The sequence below is a fragment of the Homo sapiens genome, chromosome 8, assembly GCF_000001405.40.
Source record: "Homo sapiens chromosome 8, GRCh38.p14 Primary Assembly".
Lineage (NCBI taxonomy): Eukaryota > Metazoa > Chordata > Mammalia > Primates > Hominidae > Homo > Homo sapiens.
Window position 1 is genome coordinate 36,791,002 of NC_000008.11, and position 19,651 is coordinate 36,810,652.

Sequence of the window (19,651 nt, forward strand, 5' to 3'; positions counted from 1 at the left end):
AAAAAAAAAAGGAAAAAGGAGAAAGAGGAAAAGAGGAAGTAGGAACGTGAGAAGGGAACTCCAACAGTCAAATAAAAAGATTCCCTTCAAAAAAGCATGTCCTCTAGAGGTCTTCCTATGTTGTTAATATTAATAGAATATGACAAGGTATTGATCAACTCTGTAGCATCTATGGGTTTGATGTTTAGTGCATCTATGGGTTAGGTGTGTTATATCAACTACCTGCGGAAAAAAATTTTCTTCTAAATTTAGTTCCAAATATGGTTCTATTCTCAAGCAATTATCTTATTTCTTTTTGAGATTTTGTGTGGTTGTTAATTACATAACTGACTGTGTTTCTCTATTGCTTTGTGGCTAGAAAATGTAAAACCAAAATTATGGCTTATTTTTAGCAAATGTATCTATTTTTAACATCATCCTAAGCACTACTGTATGTTCACATTCTGTTTTTCTGGCTTCTCTGGCTTCTTTTTTCTTCAGGTAATCTAGCATTTTGTGTTTTTGTATTCTGCCTTAAATCCTTTCTGTAAATGCATAACCTTTTCTGTGAATGTGTAATCCTCTCTGTAGATAAATTAAGCCCCTAGCAACAACAACAGTTTTCAACCTTAGTATACAGAAGAACTAAGTGCACAAATAAAGCATCATAATTCATTTGGAAATGGGAAAGAATATTTCAAAAACGGTGCCTGGAATGACTAAATTACTTATTTTGCTGTTTTTTGCTCATTTTCCTAATGTAATGCAACCTCTCGGAAAAAAAATGAGAAAAACATAAAACATATTGGAAAAGATCAGTCTCTTCATATTTTATATGCATTGTTTATGTGAAAATAAACCTTTTCCACCACCTTGAGATGAGCTGTATCTTTGTTTTTTTCCACTTCCTTTCCTTATTCCATATTTTATATTGAATATACCATCAAGCATCAAGAATTTATTTTGGTATGTAGCATGAGAATACAGTTTAGAGATCGTTATCCTACAAATAAAGAAAACACTGTCAGGAAACACTACACTATCTTCCTAGAAAATTTTTTGCAGATGATTACCTTGTTTATGTTTTTTTCTACACTGATCATTTACGGATATTATTGTTTATATTTTCATGCACATGATACAGTATTTTAAAAGTACAAAGTAAAAACTAAATTCCTTCCTTACCCCTATCCCCAGAAGCAAGTACCTACTGCCATGAGTTTCTTCCTTCAAAGCTCTGCAAGTTCTCAGCAACATTGTCAGATTTATTTTATTTAGGTGTTCAGGCCACTTAGGATACTCTTCTCCTCCCATAATTGTATCTATAAATAAAAATTTTGAAATAATGTGTTACTTCTGTGGCACTTCTTTGTGGAGAGTAATAAAGTGTATGGCTCGTGAAGCCAGTGGAGGTAAAATTAGATCTGAATTCAAGTTAGTCCATAGATCCTGTCTTCAAATAGGGATAGACCCTGCGAGAAAGGGAAGGATGTCAACAGGTTTCTGAAGGGTCAGCAGGTGGAACAGTTCTCCAACTTTCCTAGGTTCTACTTCCTAACATTGATGAAGCTGCGAACTCCACATGCTCGTTTTCCTTTCCCCCACTACCATTTCACAATCCGTTTTTCAAGAGAGGCACTATCATTACCTGCTTTTTAAATGAGGAAACTGACACATATCTCATAGAAATACAATGTAAAATTTATAAAGTGGGGATGAAAAATGCTGTCTATAGATTTCAATAAATGAGCTAAAATATAAGAATGTGTTAACATTATAATCATTATTATAGTGTTGTCATTATTACACGAGTTAATAAGTGTAAAATATATATAGGTTCTGCATATAATAAGTATATATAGGTATTGTTATTAATATTTGTATAAACAAAATATCTCAGGACTTATATCTATAAACGTAAACCATGACTAATATTGATGTTGAACCCTGTCTCATTCTAACAATAAGTGATATCTATAAATACCTACATTAATTTGAAAAACCCAAATGTGGCACATATACATCATGGAATACTATGCAGCCATAAAAAATGATGAGTTCATGTACTTTGTAGGGACATGGATGAAGCTGGAAACCATAATTCTCAGCAAACTATCACAAGGACAAAAAACCAAACATCGCATGTTCTCACTCATAGGTGGGAACTGAAAAATAAGAACACTTGGACACAGGAAGGGGGACATCACACACAGGGGCCTGTTGTGGGATAGGGGGAGGGGGGAGGGATAGCATTAGGAGATATACCTAATGTAAATGATGAGTTAATGGGTACCACACACCAACGTGGCACATGTATATATATGTAACAAACCTGCACGTTGTGCACATGTACCCTAGAACTTAAAGTATAATAATAAAAAATAAAATAAAATAAAAATAAATAAATAAAAAGAAAAATCCATCTCATGGATGAATTTTTTATAAAATTTTACTTTTCATGTTTTGTAATGATCAGCTTATAATGTTGTTTAATGAAAATTATAATGACAATTCAATCCAGAAAAAAATATATAAAATAATATTTTGAGGCAGATGTCAAGAAATTTAGATTCCTTTTTGGTTTCTTGCACCTATCTTGAGATTTCAAATGTGCTCTCCAATTTTTCCGCTTGTTTATTATTGGAAACAATATTTGTTAGGGGCATTAAGCAGTAATTACTAATCAACATGACATTTTATGTTGTAACTAGGATGATCATAAACACAGATTTCTGCTAGTTGTCCTAGTGTAATTGTTAATAGAGCCTCTTTTATTCTTAAACGTCTATATATGGTCAGGCATAGTGGCTCACGCCTGTAATCCCAGCACTTTGGGAGGCCGAGGCAGGTGGATCATGAGGTCAGGAGTTTGAGACAAGCCTGACCAACATGGTGAAACCCCGTCTCTACTAAATATGCAAAAATTGGCCAGGCATGGTGGTGCTCGCCTGTAATCCCAGCTACTCAGGAGGCTGAGGCAGGAGAATCACTTGAACCTGGGCGGCAGAGGTTGCAATGAGCTGAGATTATGCCACTGCACTCCAGCCTGGGTGACAGAGCGAGACTCTGTCTCTCAAAAAAAAAAAAAAAAAAAAAAGGTCTATATGTTAGGACAATAAATAATATAGTCACCTTTGTTTTAAATGAAAGCAAGTCACAGGTCATTTTCCAAAGAAGAGGAGCCAACAGGGAGAAGACAACTTTGTCTCCTTGATGGCCCCACAGATTAAATTCCAGCTTTGATTAGAAAGAACCTTTTTTTTTTGGTATGCCTCTTTTTCTCTAATTTGCACCTTTCTTCCCCTTTCCTCATGGGTCATGTTCCTACCTTTTGATCTCATTTAGCTTTTTTGGAGATGTATATGTTTCATTAGTCTCATGAAAAAGTAGCTTTATTCATTAATTCTACATACATAAATATATATATAACTCAGTGTGTGAGTACAATTTATACACATACACATATGTATAATTAATATCTTCCTTAGCCTTCTTAATTTTAGTATTTTTTTTCCAATTTATCTTAATTTTCCTTTTCTCCCCCTCTAGTCAGTTATATGAACATATCACATGCTACACAACCAGTTCAGGATGAGCATTTTCTCATAAACTTTTTCTGGTACCCAGACTGCTTCCTCTTACCATCCAAAAGTCCATCCTGGCCAGGCATGGTGGTTCATTCCTATAATCCCATGACTTTGGGAGCCTGAGGCAGTAGAATCACTTGAGTCCAGGAGTTTGAGACCAGCCTGGCAACATAGTGAGACCTCATTTGTACAAAAAATAAAAATATAATTACCCAGGCATGGTGACACACACCTGTGGTCCCAGCTATTTAATTGAGAGGCTGAGGTGGGAGGATTGCCTGAGCCCAGGAGGCTGAGGCTGCAGGGAGCTGAGATTGCACCACCCACTCCAGCCTGGGCAACAGAGCAAAACTGTCTCAACAAAAACAAAAACAAAACAAAACAAAACAAAAACATAAGAAATGAAAGTCCACCCCAAGCTGAAGAAAGAGAAGCCTAGTTGGGCTCTAAATTTCTTGGGAGGAATCCCTAAATCCACGTTTCCTCTTTGCAAGGAGATGGGGCAGGGAGAGCTAATTCTACCCCACAGGGCAAAAAAGGATTAATGGGTAATAAACACATTGCTCAATGGTTCTTGTGAAGCTTGCCCTTTAAAAAGAACATCCTCAGGACAGGTGTTTTCAGTGGCAGTGGCTCACACTGTTAGCTTTGGCAGACGGGCCTGGGCTCCTTCCCCCTGGAGCCTCTATCTGCCTCTGTCACCAGCAGTGACTAGTCTTGGATGTCTCATGCACTTGGCACTTTCTCTTAATCACTGACCCTGATTGCAGATACCCAGCAGCTCTAGCAGTAACCCCCCTCACATCTGGCATCCACATCCATGCCTTGTCCAGGCTGTCAGTAATCATCCCCTTCAAGGCCAGGAAGTGGCTGGTCAACGAGGGGCACAGGGACTTGGTAGAAATGGCCGCCTGGATGGTGTGTACCTGATCCATCCCAGGCTGGCACCCCAGGAAAGTTCCTCAGTGGTTGGTGGAAGGTGATGTGGGGGTTGGGCTGGACACTTGCCCCTTCCTTTGCAGAAGCAGTGTGGTACTTTCCAAACTTCTCCTGTCCATAGTTCCCTGAGTCTGTGTCCTGAAGGATCTGGCTGTACTTGACTTCCTTCTTCCAACATCAAGTTGATGAATTCACTGGACCACTGGATCTTCCAACACAGAACTTGTGTTCTTGGCTGGGGCAGCTTTGATGAGTGTCTTTCTGAGATCCAGCTCATCCTTTGCCCTCTGGATCAGCTTGGCCTTGGGCTTGGGGTAATATTTGTTGTCAGTCTGGGTATCCCTGTATTCAGGACCAGAGTTTCATCATCTCCCTCAACTTAGCCCAGAGGCACAGGACAGCACCACAAGCCCAGGCTAGGTCCCACCATCTTGCACAGCCTTCACCATGGAAACAGCTATCTGGGCTGGCCAAATTTTCCAGCTTCTTGAGTTGAAATTAATTGTATCCGAATTTTTCCTCTGAGTACTTCTTTGGCTATATCTCAGAGACTCTGCAAGTAATGCTCTTATTTTTATTGATGCATAATTCATCTTTTCAGTTGTTTAAATTTTAATTTTGGTTTCTTGTTTGATACATTATCTATTTAGAGAAATGTTGTATGCTTTCACTTTCCTCGAATTGAGGGGTTTTCGATTGGGGATAGAGTGGCTATCTTTTCTACTTTGGTAGAAATTTATGGTCCAAGAATGTCAAAGCTTTTATGATTTCTACTTCACGGAATTTATGGAGAAATTCTTTGTTGCCTAGTACATGATCAATTTTTACTACCATGTAATGGTATTTTGAAAGACTGTCTATTTGATGTATAAGCAATACTAATTATGTTATATGTGTTTTCCATATCCTTAATTATTTGCTGAATGATTGAAAGGGACATGTCAGACAGCTTCATTTATAATTTTTTAGTTTTATTGACTGTCATGTATTTCCAGCAGACTTTGAAAGATATATTCTTATACGATATCCACTGATATACAAAGTCACCTATTGTATCTTCTTGGTTGACAGTGCCTTTCATCAATATGAAATATCCATCTTTGCCAAATTTTGTATTGTTTTTGGCTTTGTTTTGCTTTTGCTGGAATATTTTAGAATGCAATATTAGCATGTAACATTGATCCTCCTGTTTTCATTGTATTCCTACTGGACTAGGATATCTTTGCCCAGCTCTCTTTCAATCTTTCTTTCTTATTTCTTCTTAAGTATGTCTCTTGGAAGTGTCATATAGCTGGATTTTTGTTCTTGTGTTGTATTAAAAATACATTTATTTTTTAATTTGCCAGGAGAATGTAATCATTTTCCTTTATGGTGATCTATTTTATTGGTATTTATATTATAATATTTGGAGATTAAATATACTGCATAATAGAATATCTAAATATTAGTGGCTTAAACAAACAAATGGGAGATCTGTTAGCAAGAAAGAGAGAACAGGTATTGGACACACACTAGGAGCTCTGCTAGGGTCTGAATTTCCTACCTCACCAGAGAGGCAGAACTACATGGTGATTGTGAATTTCAGGAGATTTCGGTTCAAACACTCGCGCCTCCACTTCCTAGTATGTAATCTTGAGTGAGTTAATTTTTCTAAATTGGAATTCATTCACATAATATGAATATAAAGGAGGCTATAATAACACCCATTAGAGTGTTGCAAGGAGAATTCTATCATAATACATGTAAACCACTCAAGGCAGAGTAAGCACTGACCACTGGCTGATATTTACATTTCTACTTTTTTTTTTATTACTTTAATTTATTTTTTGGCATCCTCTAATGTGGATAATTTAATTTTAATAGACTATTATAGGGATTATGTAAATCAAATACAGAACAAACTGTCTGCCCTATATTTCTCTGTGTATCTTTGTGTGTTTGTTATGTCTATATGCTCCTTTTGTATGAGAATAATTGCACGGGAGTTCTGGTAGCATTATACATCTAGCATGATTTCTTCTTAATATTCGCTTTAAAGTTTAAAATTACATTGAAACCTAATTTTATCAGTTTTATTATGTACCAGTTTTTCTTACATAACACACTATTTCTTTCTGAATGTTTCTTCTTTTTTTTTTTTTAAAGAAGTGCCCATATTCATTTGCCATGGGGAAGTGTGGGTAGTATACTTTCTGAATCTTTGAGTGTCCAAAAAAGTTTTTTTCTTGCTCTTACAAGTAAACAACAATGTGGTTGAGTTTAGAATTCTTGGCTTGCAATCTGTTTTTCCTAAAACTCTGTAAAAGCTGCTCCAGTGTTTTCTAGCACTGAGGGCCACATGCCAGGTACTAAGCTATTGTCTAGCAGCTCCCAATGTAGCCTCTCTCCTCTGTTTTGTGAGGCGGGGCCAGAACTCAGCAAGTGTGTCTCTTCTGTAAGCCTGCTCCTAGACTGCCAATAGGGAGTACAAGACGAGGCATGAAGCCTAGAGGTCAGAAAAGGGAACCGTTTGTTGCTTCTGTGTTTCGTGTCTGTTCCTTTCAGTCCCACCTACTCAACAGATTTTTAGTCCAGTTGTTGTACTTGGTTCTTGTTTCCATTTTTTTTTCTTCCAACACTGCCACAAGCAGCTCACAGTGTCTCTGCAGAGGCACAATTACCATCCGTGCTGGACTCCTTCCTCTTAGGTCTTGAGGACTAAGCTCTGATTATTTTATCTTGCCCAAATTCCTATCTAAGGGATGTGGGGAGTCATGCCCTACAAACCATAAATTCTCATCAGATGGGTTTTATTTAACCCTATATATTGTGAGTTACTTTCCAATCTGAATGGCATAACATTATGCCAGAAGAAGAAAGTCAAAATATTTTACCCCAAAACATGTTTATTTGCCATATTTTGAAATGGCCCTGCAAAGCTGTCCTTTGTGGGGGAATATTTGCATCTGTAAAGAATCTCTATTAACATAGCTAGATCTTTTTCTTCCAGGCCTTCCCAATCCTGAAGAACTTAACTAAGAGTCCAGCACATTTTAAAGATCTGAATAGGAGACATTTGTCATCTATTGTCTCTGAGGGCAGCCATCATAAGACTTCAGAAGAACCTTGGTCTCCACAGTCTTTTACCTTAACCTGAACATTTCCTTTCTATCAATCCCAGGTCTCCAGACAAACTCAACCAATTGTCAACCAGAAAATGTTTAAATTTACCTATATCCTGGAAGCTCCCCACCACTGCTTTGAGTCCTGCCTTTCTGGACTAAAGCAATGTATTTCTTAAATGTATTTGATTGCTGTCTCATGCCTCCCTAAAATGTGTAAAACCAAGCTGCACTCTGACCACCTTGGGCACATGTTCTCAGGATCCCCTGAGGGCTGTGTCACGGGCCATGGTCACTCATATTTGGCTCAGAATAAATCTCGTCAAATATTTTACAGAATTTGACTCTTATCGTCGACAGTCTGAATCCCAACTCCAAAGAGCACCTCTTTTAAACTACTAAATTTTGAGAATTCCAACCTCTTTTTTATTGATCCCCCAGGCACCGGGGTGCAGAAGCTCACAGTTAGTTATGCCCGTGTTCCTCTTTCTGCCTTTCTGATCCTCCAATCCTGCTTAATAAATTTTTAAAATTCAATTCTCTTAAAATGACTGGTGTGACTTCTGCTTTCCCTTCCCCATCCTGACTGATACAGATTAGAAAGGAGAATTACAAAGTCAGTCTTACTCTCTTTAGTTTGCAGATAACCCATGTTTTTATATTTTCCAATATAGAAAGGTATAGCGTATCTTCAAAATCTGAAATTTCGCCATGATATGGCTGTGTGTGTGTCTTCTTTCAATGTTTCCTCCCTGACAAGTCTTGGTGGGCCTTTTCGATCTAGACTCAGGTTAGTTTTCAGTTCAGGGAATCATCTTTTGCTTTTTTATTTAGCTATTCTTTTTTTGGGAGGGGGGGCAGGGTAGAAGTGTTTGTCTTATCCTTTTAGAATGCCCATTATAGTTGTTTCCCTTGCATTTAACCTCCCTGCCATTTTTTTTTTTGATGGAGTATCACTCTGCTGTCATCCAGGCTGGAGTGCAGTGGTGCAATCTCGGCTCTCTGCAACCTCTGCCTCCCGGGTTCAATCAATTCTCCTGTCTCAGCCTTCTGAGTAGCTGGGACTACAGGCACACGCCACCACACTTGGCTATTTTTTTTTTTTTGTATTTTTAGTAGAGATGGGGTTTCACCATTTGGTCAGGCTTCTCTTGAACCCCTGACCTCAGGGGATCCTCCTGCCTCGGCCTCCCAAATTGCTGGGATTACAGGCATTAGTCACCGCGCCCAGCCCTTGCACTTTTAATTATAATTTTTATCTCAGGTTTTTGCTTGGTGGTTTTGGAGAATTCCTTTATTCTAGTTCACTTTCATCAGTATCCATTCTGCTATTCAGTACCTCTATTGAGACATTAATTTTGTCAATCACATTCCCTCCTGCCCTAAGACTTCTCTCACTTTCTTATCATTCCTTCTGATTGTAGGCTGCATTTATTTTATCAGTATAATATCCTCTCAAATCTCACTAGAAACTCTAATTGTAACTTTAAAATGCTGAATCGTAACAGATTCTGTGTTAACTCTTTCATGAAAGTCATTCCATATACTTTCTTTGCCTGATCCTCCTGTTTTCCTATACTTCTCATAAAACAGGCACTTATCCATGGTATGTTAATATGCCCAAGGTTTAGAGTACTCCTGGTGCCCCTTTTAAACTGCATTGGATTTTGTTTCTTATCTGAAGACCCCCCACAACTATCCTGTAACTAAACAGGTTTTTTTAGATCCCATTGTGAAAATCAAAGTCCCAGGTTTCTATGTGTTTTCTCATAAAGATAAGCTTGGGGAATAAGGCTGGGGCCAGCAACTCTACAAACAAGGCTCTGTCTGGATGAGGTCTCCACTCTTTCAGTTAATTTTTCTTTGACTTCTTTCTGATGTGCTTCCTAGAAAAAGAGCTGTTGTCACTAGCCAAGAGGTTCCTCCTCTGAGAGTGCTCAGCCTCAGGGTGTCTCCTCTCGGCCACTATTTGGCTGGGTGGCCCCATCTCCAATCCATGGCCTCCATGGCTCAGGTAAAGGGCTTTCTACCTGTCTCTGAACAGCCAGCTCTTCCAGATTTTGCTCCTCCAACCCAATGAAAAATGTACAGCTCTTCTCAGAATTATCTTTCATTCCTACCCGACTCACTGAACAGTGTCAGTCAGAGCCCTGGCATCAGAAAGTAGTCATCTTGCGAGTTGGTAAGAATGACTGACAACAGTATAGGTTTGAAAAAGGAAAGTGTTATTGGAAGGAAAGAAAACTGCAGTAGAGTTCAGCAACGTGCTTCAGCAAAACAGGACTGAGTGTGCACCAATGTGCTTCAACAAAACAGGACTGAGTGTGCAGCAAGGTGCTTCAGCAAAACAGGACTGAGTATGTTGAGATGGATTTTTCCTTAGGGGTGTTTCTGGACCTTAAAGCAGGAGCTTAAGGGAAATTTGAACCATATTAGCCACATGGGTCATCATAAATGATTACATTTGTAGACATTGTGGTGCCTTGATGTCAACAAGGGTTGCGCAATGAGTTTCTACATGCATGCAATCCAGAGATGTATAGAAATTCTAGTTACTTATAAATTTGGGGGAAAGAAACATAGAACCAGATGCCTGCTTTAGATAATAGGAAAGTCTGATTAGTTGTAAATTCCTCAGTTAAGGAGTTTTGAATTTGGATGGTCTGCTTGATGGGCACCAGGTGATCTTTCCTCTCGTTAGTGTCCACAAATCTGTCAGCTCCCAGTGCCTTCTTTTGGTTTTAATATACATTTTGCTGTTGGTTTCCTATGATTTCTGGGTAATAATCTTTGGGTTTGTGGTATTCAATTCTTTGTTTCTATCTTTTTTTTTTCTTTTTAAATGTACTTACATGTTTCTGTTCATTTCCATGGGTTGGGGGGGTTGTAAACGTAAGTAATATATGCCATCATCTTTCCAGAAATCTGTCAATATTTGATTTTTACTTGAACCTTTTATGGGATTTCATAAGAGAAAAAATGTACATAATCATATGTAAAGAAAAGCAAAAGGATTTCCTTAAAATTATTAATAATTATCAATATGCTGCTATTAAATGTATATATGTGTGTATATATACACACACATATATATATCTCCACTCCCAACAACTTTTCTGAGCTTCAGACCACAGTTGCAACTGAATATCTGCATGAAACCGTCAAACTTAGTACTATCTTCATCAACACTTAACCTAGATTTTTAAAATGGAACTTACAGGGCCAAGTGCCGTGGCTCACACCTGTAATCCCAGCACTTGAGAGGTCAAGGCGGGCAGATCGCTTGAGGCCAGGAGTTTAGGACCAGGCTGTCCAACATTGTGAAATCCCGTCTCTACTAAAAATACAAAAATTAGCCAGGTATAGTGGCGAGTGCCTGTAATCCCAGCTACTCCGGAGACTGAGGCAGGAGAATTGCTTGAAACCGGAAGGCGGAGGTTGCAGTGAGCCGAGATTGCGCCACTGCACTGCAGCCTGGGGAAAAGAGCGAAACTCCGTCTCAAAAAAAAAAAAAAAAAAAAAAAAGGAACTTACGATAAGAGCTGAGACCCCAACACTACCACTTACAAAGCTCTTGAAAGAAAACCAGTTGAAGCTCCTAGCCTCTTACCCAATCACTTGTAAACTAGGGTCAATTTGAAATAGAAGAGCGTTTTTGGAAGGAGCTCTGCTGTTGGAGAAATGTCAGGGTACTTTCCTCTCATCTCAAACTTAGGACAGGAAGCTGAATAGGGACCACTCAGAAATCTCAGTTTGCCTTCCTTGGAACTTTGGGAGCACAGAGGACGGGTCTGTGGCTACTTTGTGGCTCATTGTTGGCTAGCTGCTTTGTGTCAGACGAGTTGCCACCCAGGACATAATCTGTCCCTTCCAGTGTTTGTTGGAACAAAGAAACCTTAAGAGTTTCCATGTGCCAGACGTGAATCACATGGGAGAGACTTCTATAACCAGCTGAATGGGGAATCTGGGAGGATAATAGTTCCAGCAGAAAATAGGAGGGTGAGAAGTAGTGAGAGAAGAGTGGCCGTGAGAGAACAGGCTTCACCGAAATCAAGGGAACCGCAAATGGGATGCTTAGCCATTAAATATCAAAAAGATTGTCTTTCCTCTTCCCCTTCCCCTGGCATTTTCCCCCTTTATTTTGCTTTGTTTTATTTTCAAAGTATTTCACTTCTAACATATCAGATGATTTGCATATTAATTATCTTCATTTGTCATCCAGGCTGTGATGTCAATGTGGGGGCAGGGATCTTTGTGTATATTGATCACTGATGAACAGAAGAGTACTTGGGTCACAAGAGGAGCTAGAGAAATGTTTGTGGAATTTGAACATGAATTCAGTTGGAATCTCCAAAGAACAATGGGACCACCCATGAAAGTAAACATTAAAGACCTTTCATGCCCAGAGAGCCGCAGGGTGTGAGCATCATGATCTAACACCAGTCAGAGAAGCAAGTTCCTTCTCTGATCTCCCCTTTCTGATCCCTCCCCACATGGAGCTACAATTCTGCAGAGGTCAGAGGTAGCCTAGTCAGCAGAATCTAGGAATAAAAACCTAGAAATGGTTAATAGAGATGAAACTGAGTCCTTTCACAATATACGTAGCCCACTCAAGGAATATCTGAGCTAAAATAAAGAGAAGATTTAATCCTAAATGAAATCCAGAGTTTCATTATTAGAATTACACTGGACTGAACATGTTCAAAAGCTGGATGGTTGGAAACTAGAAATAACTGGAGGAATGTTAAATTACCTAAAATTAACCTCAAATATCATGAAAGCTGCCAAAGATTTTATCCAAACACCCCCAGGGCTTTTAATGGACAGTTTCCAATTGCATTCCCCGAGATACCCTATTTTACAGAGGCACTGGCATGGTAAAAAAAATCACCTTCTTCTCACTTGTAGCATTTCCCCTACTGTGAAAATTCTGGCTATCCTTTAGGGAACACATGTCTGGAATTTTTTCTATAATATAACCAACAATTCAAATCCAGGGTCTATTTCCAATAACCCCTTCTTTTCTAGCATGTGATAAATTGCATAAAGCCTATTAAGCACTTAATAGATGTTTGATGAGTGAATAAGTGATCACAGGAAAGGACATCTTGAGATCAAAGATTAAAAGCCTCTAGAAGCAGCAGGAAGGACAAACTGTGTATTCTGAAGTGTGCGCAAGTTAAAATTAGATAAGTAAAATGGGTACATATTCATTTTTTTAATACTCAGAAAAGGTCCAATCAAGTTGGACCTTGAATCGATAAACAGATGAATGAATGAATGAATACTAACATAAGTGAATATGTGAATAAATGGCTACACGTACACAGGCATGGTAAAAAGAGAAAACACACTTTTGTCGATTTATTTAATGCAAATGAAGTGGATTTAGACATTTGTCCCTGTTTTTCATTTTCAGGTGATCCTTGTCTTTGTACTAAGCATTGGGTCTCTTATAATCTATTTCATCAATTCTGCTGAGTGAGTACAATGTCCAGTCACACTTGTCTGCTATATCAGTACATTGCTCGGCTAATTTGGAATTTTCTCCTCAGGAATAATGCTTAATATACTTTCACACACACATGCACGCACACACACAAACTCATAAAAAGTGATATGTTTGGCTTCTCCCAGTAAGCACTAAGCCCAGCTCTGCAAAATATACAAGAGTTTCCTTGTATCCTGCCACTTTCCACTGCTAGGGGTCAGGGTGGTCTGCAACCCCCACCCGAGATTTACTCTGGAGTCTCTGGGACACCAGCCTTCAGCTTTCTTTCCCTCACTTAGGCCACTCATGAAGGTTTTATATGTCTTTGGTTTCCTTAGATTTGGAGCAGAAACGCTGTCGTAGTTTCAGGGTTTCTCATAGGTTTCAAGCAACTTCGGATGGTATTGAGAAAGGAAAATGCCAGCCCTCACCTGTGACAAAGAAGCAAATTGTTGCCTGCTGTCCTCTGAAAGCATCCCCTCCTTATTTTTCAGGGTTAGGGCAGCTATTTTGGACAAAGCCCAATCTAATCTGAATTCCATGTCAATCACTTGGGAATTATATTGGATTTCTAGCTAAAATGGAATTGGGATTGCAGGGCCACAGAAAGCCAAGCAACTTTAGAGAACCTAGGGAAACTGGTTGTCTTTGCATTGTGAATTCCTAAGAGATCTTTTAGGAGATTTTCTTTGAAATTGGTTCAGATCAATCCATTTGATCTAGAGTATCTCTGTATCAGAAGAGAATTAATTCAAAATATACTGACTAGATAGATGATCTTGCAAACCAAGAAGAGCCTCATCATCTCTCTGGCTCTGAATCCCCATTGTTAAAATGGAAATAGAACCAATACATCCTACAAAACAAATTATGGGTAATTTTCCTCTTATTTCCAGTGCTATTGGCAGTCCACTGGTTTTGTTCATGCATTCCTCTACTCCCAAGAGAAAAGTTAATTTCCTTGAGATCTTAACTTAAGTGTCTGGATTCATGGTGAATAAAGAAAAATTTTCCTATTCTTTCCCTTTAGTTGGTCTTATATAGACACCACTTTAAAAATGTTGATCTTCACAAACTGTCCTTCTTTCTTTTCCAGCCCTGTTGGAAGCTGTTCATCATATGAAGACAAAACCATTCCTATTGATTTGGTTTTCAATGCTTTCTTTAGTTTCTATTTTGGATTGAGGGTAAGTACCTATTGAAAGTGGGAGTGAATATCCAAACACCACAGGCACAACATACAGAGAACTAACTGTGTCTCAGTCCTACAATCTGCCCGAGTTTTCAACTCTAAAGATAGCTAATCTGTGCCCTAACTTGTTAAATATATACTGATCCCTAAAAACTCTCTCTCCTGCACGTGAAACGCTAAACCAGGTTAAAAGTTCCAACACAACACGAAAGTAATTCTTTTGTTAAATGCCATCATCGTGTTCCCATGGCCTCCTTACTGGCTTCCCATCTTTACTAATAATGACAAGCGAGCAGAACTTGAGTAGCAAGTCTCTGGAGATGTCCTTAGCTCCACTGGTGGCATGCCTGCAATACAACTGTGGAAAATAACTTTGTATCTTTGTTTCATTTTGTTACACTCATTTGTTAAATATTTCTCTCACTTTAGAGGTATTTATTAAGACCTGTTCTAGATCTAGATTTCAATCTCTTCATTTCTTGTTTGTGGGAGACTAATGTGTGTATATAAAATATACACATATATGTATGTATATATAGGCATGCTATATATAAAAACATCTTATTTTTTTTAGACATGGTCTTGCTTTGTCACCTAGGCTGCAGTACAGTGAAGCGTTCTTGGCTCACTGCAACCTCTACCTCCCAGGTTCCAGTGGTTCTCCTGCTTCGGCCTCCTGGGTAGCTGGGATTACAGGCAGCTGCAACCACGTGCAGCTAATCTTTATATTTTTGGTAGAGATGGGGTTTCGCCATATTGGTCAGGCTGGTCTCAAACTCCTGACCTCAAGCTATCTGCCTGCCTTGGCCTCCCAAAGCATCCACATAGCATATAAATATATGTGTCTGTGTATATGTAAAATAGAAGGAGATCAAGGCTTCAGCTGATAAGTAAAATGCAGCTGAATAATGCTATCTAGTGTTCACTTAAAATTCTTGAGGGTAACAGAATTTGTGTTATTCTGTTTCTATTTCATAGTTTATGGCAGCTGATGACAAGATCAAGTTCTGGCTGGAGATGAATTCAATCGTAGACATCTTTACCATCCCACCAACCTTTATTTCTTATTATTTGAAGAGCAATTGGCTAGGTAAGTGTGCTCTGGGAACGGGTAGCAATATCTATGAATAAAATAAAAACTCAACATTCATTTGTAAGTATCTATTTTTCATTTGTTCTTAATGCCTGACTGTCATTTTAAAAACCTCTCACCTTAATAGTATGGTTTTGTCATACACTTGCAGAAACCTTTTGACTTTAACACTTAGCAATGCAGCAGGCACACAGTAGGTGTTCAATAGTTGTTGATAGAATTGACTGCATTTGTAATGTGAGAGGCAAGACTCCAATATCTCATTCCCCTGGTAGCACCTTTATGCTGGGATCCCACAGGAGCTGGGGGAGATGAAAAACCTCCCTTTGTCATTAAAAGCTAATCATCATCTCCATATGTGCTATGGCATTTTAGATAATTATTTAATTAGTTGTTTTGTCTTTAAGGTGAATGTGTTGACAGTGCATGGACATTATGTAGCTTTTATCAGTTTCGTGTAATTTTATTGTATGATTTATTATCTATAAAATAAATATGAATTCCATTCCTTGCTAATGTTATTATCATACCACCTAAAGTAAAACATCATACAAACATTGTGAAGCATATCATAGAGATTGTATAGTCAGGAGTTTAAGTAGTTAAGGGAAATTTTGCTCTCCGTTCTAAAGAAGAGTTAAATAGAGTAAAATGAATAGTCCCCATAATATGTGAGGCATGCTTCTACATGCTTGATATGGATGCTACAACTCTGTGAGGTTGGTACTATTATAATAGTACCATTTTACATTTTACATTCCCATCTTACAGATAAGGAACTAGAGAAGGCGAGGGGATTGCCTTAGGTTACAACAGCGTCAGGGCTAGTATTTGAACTACAGCTTATGCTGTTAAGCCTATAACATGAGAATAGATTTGGAACACGTCTAGAAGAAAAAGAATGTAAGTGATTCCAATGCTGTTATAACGTAGGCTCCCTCTGGAGTGACCCTCTGATTTTGGCAGCTTTCTCCTTTCCATTGGTTTGTAGGTTTAAGGTTCCTAAGAGCCTTGCGCCTGCTAGAACTCCCTCAAATCTTGCAAATTCTACGAGCCATCAAGACCAGGTAAATAGCCCTGACCGAAGTACTGCTTACTTATTAGTTTGGATTAGAAAATGAATGTATTAACTGGACCCTAAACTCAATGCATTTCTTATCAGAATTTCAGTGCAAAGATCATGAAATCTCTCAGCTGCCAAAATATTATTTGTTCACATTCTCCCATTATATTACATCTTACACTAGCTGAAAACTTTGCAATCATTTTAAAGAGCTGGTTTAGTCTTTGTTTTTTAAGCTATGGTGTATAAGTTTATTTAGGTTTTAATTCTAGGTCCCTCCACCAAAAAAAAAAAAAAAAGTCAAAGCAATTCAGAGGCATTGGTTCTATATATTTGCTTTAGTAACTCATGTCTCTCCTGGCTAGGTAAAAAAAAAAGAAACACTTCTTCAGGCATTGGAATGTAAGACAATTCCTCGAAGCATACATTACCCAGCAGCAGCAAGCAGTGAACTATTGCTTGCAGAAATATAGCCACCTAAGTATTTCCAGACAATAAGAACACAATCCAAACTAGCTTTGAGCAGCAATACTTGTAAAATTTTGAGCAGTTTGGTCTGTTACCCAGTCAAAATCTCCATGCCTTGACAGTCAAACTAGAAGCATCAAATATTAGAGGCCAGGTGGATTTCACTGCTACGTGTTTATGAATTATGGAGAAGCTGGAGGAGGAAAGCCTGGTCCTGTGTGACGGGTGGTCCTGCCTGAAAACCAGAGAGATCTCAGCTAAGCTCTAGGGCTCTCCTTAGGTGACAAGGGCCCCTCTGATCTTTCTTCACTTAAAGACCTTGTTATCAGTCCAGCAGTCTGTGTGACTTTATATTTTTGTGTTCTGTTCAGAATTTTATTTTGCAAATCTGCTCCCTGGATTTCTACCCCTTGGATTCCTAGCATAATGAATTGTATATTATTATATCGGACAATATAACAATCTCTATGATCCACATGTAGATATTTTAAAAAGTGATATGAGGCTAGTGGATATCGCAGCAAAAGTCAAACTTCCCAAACAAGTATATGTGACTGGGCGAGTTTCAGAGCTGTGTTTCTCAACCTCTAATGTGTATATGAATCAAGCAGAGAATCTTGTACCAATGCAGATTGGGAGATCGGGGCAGGGACTGGGATGCTGCATTTCGAATATGTTTTCGGGTAATGCCGTTCCTTCTGGTCCATGAGCCACACTTTGTGTAGCAACATCTTAGAGGATGAGGTGTTTGTGTTGTTCTGGAATCTGTTAGACCCAACAGCTCTTTGTCTCTCTTCCTCTAGTAACTCAGTGAAGTTTTCCAAACTGCTGTCAATAATTCTCAGTACCTGGTTCACAGCTGCGGGATTCATTCACCTGGTAAGCATCTCATCACAATCCCTAGTGGTGTCTGTTGTTACCAGCATCCATTTTTTGAAAAATGGAAGGGAACCTGCTGAGCCCCTGTCTCCATCACTGTAAGCCAGTTGGAGGTGTGTCTTTCTACTTCCCATTTTCAGGTTTTCTTTACCCTCATATTCTCACAAATATGCATCTCCTACAATCAAGGTGTCTCTGTTCCCTCTTCCAACTTTCAAAACCTACTCTTAAGGAAAGACCTAGTAAGCTCCAAAGGTATCAGCAATAGGTAAAATGTATCACTATATCTTATAAGGGTTCTAGCATTAAAAAAAGATTAAAAAGTGAAGGAAATGAAGCCAGTTACAGGATTTCAGACTTATAAATGCTGGAGACTTATGAGGGAGGATTTACTGTTGCAAAGGGGAGTTTGGGGGCTTTCTTGATCCTCCTGAAATCAATCTGTACACCTAGCTGCCTCCTTTGCCTGTAGGAAAGTCTGGTTCTTATCCCACATAATGAGAAATCTAGGAAATGGATCTCAGCTATAGGAAAGGAACTCCTGGACTTTACTTCTTGAGGACAGTTGAAGAGCAGTCATTAGCAAATACAGAAATTGATGGGAGATGTTAAAAGCCCGCAAAAGCCTTTGAGATAAACAAAACAGAATGCATAACAGGTCTTTTTTATCTGAGCCCTTCTCTCAAAATTAATATAAAACAATAACAATTTAAAAATCCATTAAAAAGTTACCATTGTTCAATTCAACAAGAAAAATGTCAAATGCAAACAAGGATATGAACCTTCAAGAAATCTGAAGCTCTCTACATCCTCCTCAGCACTCAGGAAGGAGAGAGATTTTCCTGAAGTGTCACAGCAGTAAAGGCTGATTCCTAGATTTAGAGAATTGAACCTTAGAGTCCTGGGCCCACCAGGGGATAAGCAGACATTAGTGTCCCTGTAGAAACCTCGTGGCCACCACAGGATGCTAAAGGAAAAGTCATTAGGACTTTTTTTTCTTTTTCCTTTAATAGCTGTTTCAATGAGGGGCTCAAAGGCTTAATGTGGCCTACAAGCATATTACTATATTTGACCTAATTATGTTTTCACTTTTTGTTTGCTATTTTTTGTCACTCGCTGACTTTTATGAAGAGCTCATATAAAAATCAGAATTTCTGAATTCTTTGGGAAAATATAAGGTTCTAATAATCCCACTCTCCCAAGGCCACCAACAGCCATAGCTGAAGAATAGCTTCGGATCACGAGGTCGAGAGATCAAGACCATCCTGGCCAACATGGTGAAATCCTGTCTCTACTAAAAATACAAAAATTAGCCAGACGTGGTGGCATGCGTCTGTAGTTCCAGCTACTTGGAAGGCTGAGGCAGGAGAATTGCTTGAACTTGGGAGGGACAGGTTGCAGTGAGCTGAGATTGCACCACTGCACTCCAGCCTGGTGACAGAGCAAGACTCCATCTCAAAAAAAAAAAAAAGTAGCTTCTCCCTATAGCTTCTCCCTATGTACAGCAGGTGCTCTTGGGTTTAACACAGTCTCTGCCAGGCCTACTTGAAATCATTATAGTCTTGCTCCACTCCTCTAAGGATGTGAGCATGTTTCCCTGCTGGACATCTGGTCTCCCAGGAAAGGAGACCTCCAGCAAGGAAGTAAGCACAGAAAAAAGGAGAAACAATCAGATGGCGTGTGAATTAGACAGTGCCACTTTGAGCCATACCAGTTTCTAGAATATTAAAAACCTAGAAAAGCTATATCCCAGAGAAAAGAAAATAGCAGATTTTATTGAGGGGATATTTGCAAAGACAAGCCAAAATAAAAGCTATGGTTGCCCTAACTCACCATCTTCCCATTCTCACACTATCCTT

The 19,651-nt window shown here is 38.8% G+C and overlaps 1 protein-coding gene and 1 pseudogene across 8 annotated transcripts in view; one reads left to right on the plus strand and one right to left on the minus strand.

The window, feature by feature from the left end:
• The window catches only part of KCNU1 (potassium calcium-activated channel subfamily U member 1), a 151,752-nt gene that overhangs the window by 6,628 nt on the left and 125,473 nt on the right, over window positions 1–19,651 (plus strand). For all 8 annotated transcript variants that reach the window (NR_134267.2, XR_001745486.3, NM_001031836.3 and 5 more), the window contains exons 3-7: window positions 13,026–13,087; window positions 14,194–14,284; window positions 15,268–15,379; window positions 16,374–16,449; window positions 17,717–17,792. Coding sequence is in view for 6 of the 8 variants with exons in the window: in NM_001031836.3 (NP_001027006.2) it covers window positions 13,026–13,087; window positions 14,194–14,284; window positions 15,268–15,379; window positions 16,374–16,449; window positions 17,717–17,792 (417 nt within the window). In the remaining 2 variants the exon portion in view is untranslated. The remainder of the gene's footprint in view (window positions 1–13,025; window positions 13,088–14,193; window positions 14,285–15,267; window positions 15,380–16,373; window positions 16,450–17,716; window positions 17,793–19,651) is intronic.
• On the minus strand, window positions 4,262–4,966 carry MRPS7P1 (mitochondrial ribosomal protein S7 pseudogene 1; annotated as a pseudogene).